This window comes from Homo sapiens, chromosome 18 (assembly GCF_000001405.40).
Source record: "Homo sapiens chromosome 18, GRCh38.p14 Primary Assembly".
In the NCBI taxonomy this organism is placed as follows: domain Eukaryota; kingdom Metazoa; phylum Chordata; class Mammalia; order Primates; family Hominidae; genus Homo; species Homo sapiens.
In genome coordinates, this window is record NC_000018.10 from 7,313,975 (window position 1) to 7,321,963 (window position 7,989).

The following is a 7,989-nucleotide window of genomic DNA, read 5'->3' on the forward strand; positions in this document are numbered from 1 at the left end:
AATCCACACGATCTCTGCTCTAGGCAAGTGCAGGCTTGGCAAGTTCAAGTTCAAGAAAGCCTCCTGTGGCCAGAATAAAATGAGCACAGGGCAAGAGAGGTGAATTTAGCATAGCAGCTTGTGTGTCTTGATAAGGAATAGGGGATGCCATGCCAGGGAATGATTCAATCTGATTTGCATTTTTAAAAGAGGACATTTAACACTCCCCAGATTGGGATAGAACCGGAGCAGCCTGGGGGTGGGAATGGGGGACAGGATCAGAGGTCACATGGTATTTCTCTATTAGGTGTTGTAAAAGATGGGGCTAACATTCACGTCAGCCAGCCCGGTGGCTCACACCTGTAATCCCAGCATTTTGGGAGGCCGAGGCAGGAAGATCCCTTAAGCTCAGGAGTTCAAAACCAGCCAGGGCAACATAGTGAGACCTCATTGCTACAAAAATAAAATAAAAAATGAGCCAGGCATGGGCCAGGCACGGTGGCTCACCCCTGTAATCCCAGCACTTTGGGAGGCCGAGGTGGGCGGATCACCTGAGGTCTGGAATTCGAGACCAGCCTGACCAATATGGAGAAACCCCATCTCTACTAAAAATACAAAAAAAAAAAAAATAGCTAGGAGTGGTGGTGCATGCCTGTAATCCCAGCTACTCGGGAGGCTGAGGCAGGAGAATTGCTTGAACCTGGGAGGCGGAGGTTGCAGGGAGCTGAGATCACGCCATTGCACTCCAGCCTGCACAAGAGCAAAAATCCATCTCAAAAAAAAAAAAATTAGCCAGGCATGATAGTCCACAGCTGTAGTTTCAGCTACTTGAGAGGCTGTGCAGGAGGAAGGCTTGAGCCAAATAAGTTGAGGCTGAAGTGACCTGTGATCACGCCACTGCATTCCAGCCTGGGTGAAAAAGCAAGACCCTGTCTTCAGAAAGAAACACATACCTTAAATATGAGAGAACCTCCCAGCTTCTCCAAGGAGAGTGGAACTATTGAGGTAAAGGATGACAACATAATTCCTAAATTATGCAACCTTTAGCCATAAGCCATAATGCAGAGTAACTCAACCTCTAGTTTATGCCAAAGTAGTGTGGCTACAATTATTCTTGGTGGACAACTAGCCCATGATATTGTTCTAGAAAAAGACAACAGTTAAATCAAAGAATGGGCCAGGCACGTTGGCTCAAGCCTGTAATCCCAGCACTTTGGGAGGCCGAGATGGGTAGATCACGAGGTCAGGAGATCGAGACCATCCTGGCTAACACGGTGAAACCCCATCTCTACTAAAAATACAAAAAATTAGCTGGGCGTGGTGGCGGGCACCTGTATTCCCAGCTACTGGGGAGGCTGAAGCAGGAGAATGGCCTGAACCCAGGAGGCAGAGCTTGCAGAGAGCTGAGATGGCGCCACTGCACTCCAGCCTGGGTGACTGAGCGAGACTCCGTCTCAAAAAAAGAAACAAACAAACACACAAACAAAAAAAACCCCAAAGAATGTTGGGGTGTGATGTGAAGTTGATGAGAGCCTGTACCAAAACGCCCTGAGTTTAGACTGGAAAAAGCCATAAAATCCATCTGAAAGGACAACCAGTTGCCCTCCTCCAAGCCAGTGAGAACTTGGGTGCTCTTTCCATTATTCCATGTCTACATAGTCCTTCTATGTCCTACGTGGGCTTCATTATGTTGGTTCACACACCTGACTGAGCATCAGAAACTCCTGGGGCAATTGATCAAAATCCAGCTTCCTAGGCTGGACCCAGACCTGGAAAATCCAGATCTTCACAGGTAGGCTCATGAATCTTTAATAAGATCCCGAAGTGCCTCTGCTGGTCAGTCAGGGGTGGGAGCCCCTGCACCATAAGGGAATATTCCAGACCAAGAAGAGGTCTGGACGGGAAGATCATCAAGGCTGGAAAGAGCTGAGTGCTGCCCTGTGCTATCCTTCAACTCCTCTGGGCCTGTTTCTCACTGTGAATAGGAGACTGATGAAATAATCTCCAATATTCTTTCCAGCTTGAAGTCCTATGACTGTATAATTCATCTTTACATTACTATATCCATGATGGACGACCAGTAAGTGCTTCATGTTAGAATAAAAAAGTGGTCGGGCACGGTGGCTCACGCCTGTAATCCCAGCACTTTGGGAGGCTGAGGCGGGCAGACTACTTGAGGTCAGGAGTTCAAGACCAGCCTGGCTAACACAGTGAAACCCTGTCTGTATGAAAAATACAAAAATTAGCCGGCTGTAGTGGCACATGCCTGCAATCCCAGCTACCTGGGAGGCTGAGGCAGGAGAATGGCTTGAACGCAGGAGGTGGAGGTTGCAGTGAGCTGAGATTGCGCCACTGCACTCCAGCCTGGGTAATAGCACAAGACTCCATCAAAAATAAAGAAAGAAAGAACAAGAAAGCACCAAGGAGTTTTGTGCCTGTGGTCAAAAAAGGAGAGAAGAAAGTTAGAGAGGCTGGTTTCAGGCACTATATCCATGGTCAAAATGTTACATGAAAGCTCTTGTGTATTGAGCCCACAGAGGAAGGTTTCCCTTGCATTTTTGAAGCCATACAAATGTTCAACATGGATTTACTTGCCAAGTCACTTCCCTTTAAACCTAATAGTAATAGCTAGAGTATAGGGAACATCTACCAGCACTGTCCTGGGAGCTTTGCGTGTGTTATCTAAATCCTTATCATAATCCTATGAGGTAGGATTATCCCCATTTCACAGAGAAGAAAGCTGAGGCCCCTAAAGGTTAGCTTTGGCCCAAAGTCACACAGCAGAGGGGGATTCAAGCAGTTGGCTCTATCCTTTAACCCCTGACCCCACAGGGCCCAGGGCTACGGGGTGAAGGGAGAGCAGTCTACTGAACTAGCTGCATATCTAGGGATTCGATTCTGGTGGCATTGGGACATCCCTCTGACCCTGGGGACTGTCGGGAGAGACTCCCATTCATTCCCTGGAGTACTCCCCCTGCATGTGGTGTCAGCTATTTTCCCTTTGCTCTTAGGATGCCCTTTCCACCTTCCCCATCCTGCTCTGAGCTCTGGGAGCCACCAGCATGGGCCATCTCAACCTCCCACTGGGGCCAGCTGGGTTGGACCAATGGATGGCAGCGGCAAGAGCTCAGAGGGTGGGAGAGTGAGGTCAGGGGGATTTCTTCCTTGCTTCTGCCAAAGCCCCAGCTCCTGTGGGACAGCCCTCTCCCACAGCCAGCAGTCCCTCCCACGCCCCCACAGGCCTGAGGATGGCATCCTGCTCTGCTGTGACTTAGCCCTGTGTGCTCCAGCTCATCTTCCTGGCTTTCCTACATTGGGCCCCTGCTGTTGTAAGCAGTCCTGTCATAAAAGGCCCCTCAGTCACCCATTAAGGTGTGTCTCTTTCCTAGCAAAATCTCAACAAATACCTATCATCTGGGATGCCCTCAGGGGGATGCTCCCCACTCCCAGAGGACCCCTTCCCTGCCTCAGCAACCCAGTGCAGTCTGGTGTGGAGGGGCTGGGTTTGAGCATGTGTGTGCAAGTGTGTGTGCAAGCAGGTACATGAGTGTGTGCAGGTGTGTGCATGTGTATGAGCATGCACAAGTGTATGTACAAGCACATGTGAGTGTGTAAGGGCCTGTGTCTGTGTGTGAGTGCATGTAACAGTGTTAGTGTGAAAGTGAGTGTATGTGGGTGAGCATGTACAAGTGTCCACAGACTCCCACAGCAGTCCATGGGCCCAGGTGCAGCTTCATCAGCTGCCCGAGACCACATCCAGGTAACACCCTCCAGCTCCTCTCCAGCTACAAACACCGACCCCCAGCTCCCAGGAGATCCCCAGCAGCAGCATCCCTAGGCCGGCCCCTGCCCCTTGAATAAGCTACCAGTCCTGGAGTGACTCCTCTGCACTGGGCAATACGCCTGGGTGCTTTCTGTACACGTGCATTCTACCTGGACCATGATGCGGTGAGGTGACATGGTGACTCAAGTCTTTGCTGACTCACCACACCTCCCCCACATCCTTCCATGGGAGAATTTGGGCCCATTAAATTATGCCACAGCCCTGTCCAGTGCTTGATTCAGGGATGGGATTGGGGCCACAGCAAACCCAATCAGAGCCCCGCTGTGGGCACTTTCTGGCTGGCCCTGGAGGGAACACGCCCCTTCTGTCTCCCAGGCCCACAGTTGCCTGGATGTGAGTTCCCTGTGGCCTTGGCCTTAGTGATGTGCATGACACAGTCAGAGAGAATGAGGTAACATGACAAGGAGGAAGACAGGACAGATTCAAACCCGAGGTGCGTGTGCCCTAAGCTCCACCCCTGCCCTTGTAGTATAGGAGCCAATGCCCCATTTCTGGTTAAGCAATTTTGAGTAGATTCTCTGTCTCTTGTAACAAAAAAAGGCCTGAGTACCAGCAAGATATTATTATTTTCCTCATTTGACACATGAAGACACTTAGGTTCAGAGAGGCTAAATGACATGCCCAGGGTCCTACATGGATACAGATCAGAGCTACGACTGGATCCAGGTCTTTGTTCATAGTCCCTGCTTTCAACACTATAGCCCTATGGTCAGACTCTCTGGGGACAACTTTCAGTGCTTCCTCTGTCCCATCAAATCCCATTTGTTCTGCAGGAAAATGACACCACCCTGGAAAATGGTGAATAAAAGGAACAGAGGTCCACAGGGGATGGGGAGTGGGGATGATTGTAGGAAAAACAACCTGCTAGGACCGAGGATGTCAGATGACATGGATGGCCTGGCTCTTTAAAAGTTCCTGCAAAGCCTTTCTCTAAGCAGGGCTGCACTGGAGCTTCTGTGTCTCTGCAGAAGCAGGCTTGAGAAAGGCAGGCCCAGGTCTTGGCCTTTTAGGAGCACACTAGGCACTGTCACCCACCCAAGATCCAAAGGTAGGGCTCAGCTATCTGCTATGTTCACGTGTGTGTCACACCCAGAAGCACAAAGCGAACCCGTACAACAAAAAGAAGCTGGGTTTCAGACCTATGAGCCCATGAAAAGGAAACAAAAAGATTTAGGTTGTTTTTATTTTCTCAAAAATAAAAAAAAGTCACCCCTGCTGTTTAAACTGCATGCAAAGGTGTTTCCAAATCAATCCCTCAGCAGCTGTAAAAATCCACATTGATCCACTCCAGCAACACTGAAGGAGGATCAAACCTCCTGAGAGAAGGACTGATTGGCTCGCTCTCTAAATAGACTATTTGCTCTGTCATTCAACACCCGCAAATGTTTCTACTGCTGAACATTGCTAAGGTCAAATTGGATAAAACATATTAAGATATGATCAGATTTTGTTTTGTATTCAAAACGCCTTACAGGAGCAACACGGCCCGCTGTCCTGTGGCTGCAGCCTTCTAGGGAAATGCAGTGGGCACAGATTTGCGGCTTTACTTTGCACGCATGCTGCGTAGAGGGGAATTTGCTGCGGGTTTATGTTGTCCTGACTTTCTGGCGATGTGCAGACATCCAGGAGAATCTGCACAAAGACTGCTTAAGCAAACAGTCAGGCAGAAAGACTCTTGCTCTCTCTTGTTTCTAACCACTCGCCTCCCAGCATTGTCTATTTCCCCATCATCACAGTGACCCAGCAGCCTGTAGCTTCTCCATCTCTTTCCTTTGGCTTTTCTTAACAGATGTTGCTTGACTGCATCAATCCCAGATAGGAGCGCTAATGTGATGGGCAGGGTTTGGGAGCTGGGGTAGAAGGGTGCTGTGCTCTCTATTAGTGTCCAACTTACTCATCCTCTTTGTGCCTTGGTTTCTCCATCTATAAAGTAATGAAAATGAAAATGTCCAATTCCCAAGCCTTCTGTGAAGATAATTGAGATTACCGAGACAGAGCAATTGGTATTGTGCTCTGGGTATGGTGAACGCCCAGTGGAGGTAGGTGACAAGATTATTTTCATTATTGCCCACGTTTGCTTCAAAAACTTACCCTGGTCACTTATCTTCGTTTTAGTATTCCAAGCTCCATCGCTGTCTGTAGGTCTCCCCAACCTAATTTTTCACTTCTGCCCTAAAAGCTGACTTACATCCAGAACTACTCATGTCCAGTTGCCTTCATCCAACATTGGTAGAAATCCTATTAGGTCCCAGGCGCTGTGGTGGGTGAGGGCAAATAAAATGGGGGGGGGGCACTCCTCTTATCTCCGTGGGAGGAAACAAAGCTCTCCTGCACTCCCTCACTTTACCATAAGTCTCTGGTGGTCTCCGTTACTCAATTTTTTTTTTGTTTGAGATGGAGTCTCACTCTGTCGCCCAGGCTGGAGTGCAGTGGCACGATCTTGGCTCACTGCAACCTCCGCCTCCTGGGCTCAAGTGATTCTCAGCTTCCCGAGTAGCTGGGATTACAGGCACCGTCTGCCACCACACCCAGCTAATTTTTGTATTTTTAGTAGAGACGGGGTTTTCGGCCATGCTGGCCAGACTTGTCTCAAACTTCTGACCTCAGATGATCTCCCCACCTCGGCCTCCCAAAGTGCTGGGATTACAGGCAAGAGGCACCGCGCCCGGCCCATTCCTCATTTTTTTAATTGATATAATGGTTTAGGGATGCCACTACCCACTGTGGAGAGAGGTGGGCTGTTGATGACAACATTGATAATGGTGGAAAAGTAAGTGAATTGATGGAAGAACTATAGGAACGTAGTTGAATGGCTAGTTTATTCTGTATGTATATGCTTGTTTCTCCTCTCAAAATGGCCAAGGAATGCAACATAGGAGTTCTGGTACGGAAGTCTAATTTGTGATTTAACTGGGGTTTACAAAGAAGCAACAGTTCTTAGAGGCAGCTCGATGGCAAGTCTAGGCGGTGGCCTGAGTCTTACCATCAATCTGCTGAAGGACAGGGATGGACAACCTACAGCGCCTTCGTCTGTGCTCCCAAACAGCCCTCAGCACACTGCCGTAACCATCTGTGTGTTCGTCTCCCTGATAAACCTCCAAGCTCCATGAATGCTGAGGCATTGTCCTATTGCCTATAATGTGTCCAGTTCCTGTTAAACTGAACTTATGAGGACAAAGAGGTTGATCACCCCATACATTTCAAGAAAACACTCTCTGCTCACATGAAAGGACAAGGGAAATATCACTTTCCAACAAAGAGTCCAGGAGAAAATAGAAGTATTTATTTCTTAGAACTCCTCAAGTGTAGAATATGGGATTTGCTACTCATGCAAGCAGGCAGCAAAAAGTAACATCAAACTCAGGGCCTCTAGGGTGAAATGTGTACCTCCAAGATACACAGTATGATCATTAGCGTGAGGGCAGAAAATATTAGGACTTTCCATTTAGTTTAAAGTCATCCTTCAAACATTTGTGATTTATGTATGCTTTATGATTTGTATAACATATTAGCATTTATATACGTATACATCTAAATATGTAGAATTTTTTTTTTTTGATGGAATCCCGCTCTGTCGCCCAGGCTGGAGCACAGTGGTGTGATCTCGGCTCACTGCAAGCTCCGCTTCCCTGGTTCACACCATTCTCCTGCCTCAGCCTCCCGAGTAGCTGGGACTACAGGCACCGGCCACCACGCCTAGCTAATTTTTTTGTATTTGTTTTTAGTAGAGACGGGGTTTCACCATGTTAGTCAGGATGGTCTCAATCTCCTGACCTCGTGATCCCCTCACCTCAGTCTCCCAAAGTGCTGGGATTACAGGCGTGAGCCACCGCTCCTGGCCGAATGTATTTTTATATATTGAGGATGCTTAACATTTTTTATTGATTACGTATACAATACAAATGTTTGGAACATTGATTCCATTGAACATATTGATCTGAATATTTATTATATAACATCTGAAATGTATATAACTCCTTATGAGTTTTAATAAATATTTAAATATGTATGTGATGTCAGTTGTGATTTACCAAATGTCTTCCTTGTCTCAGGGCAATTTCCACTTCCTAAGATGGGTAAAAATGAGTTTCACAGGTGAACAGGTAGATGAATAAATGGGAGAATGGATGGGTGGGTGGATGGATGGATGGATGGGTGGATGGGTA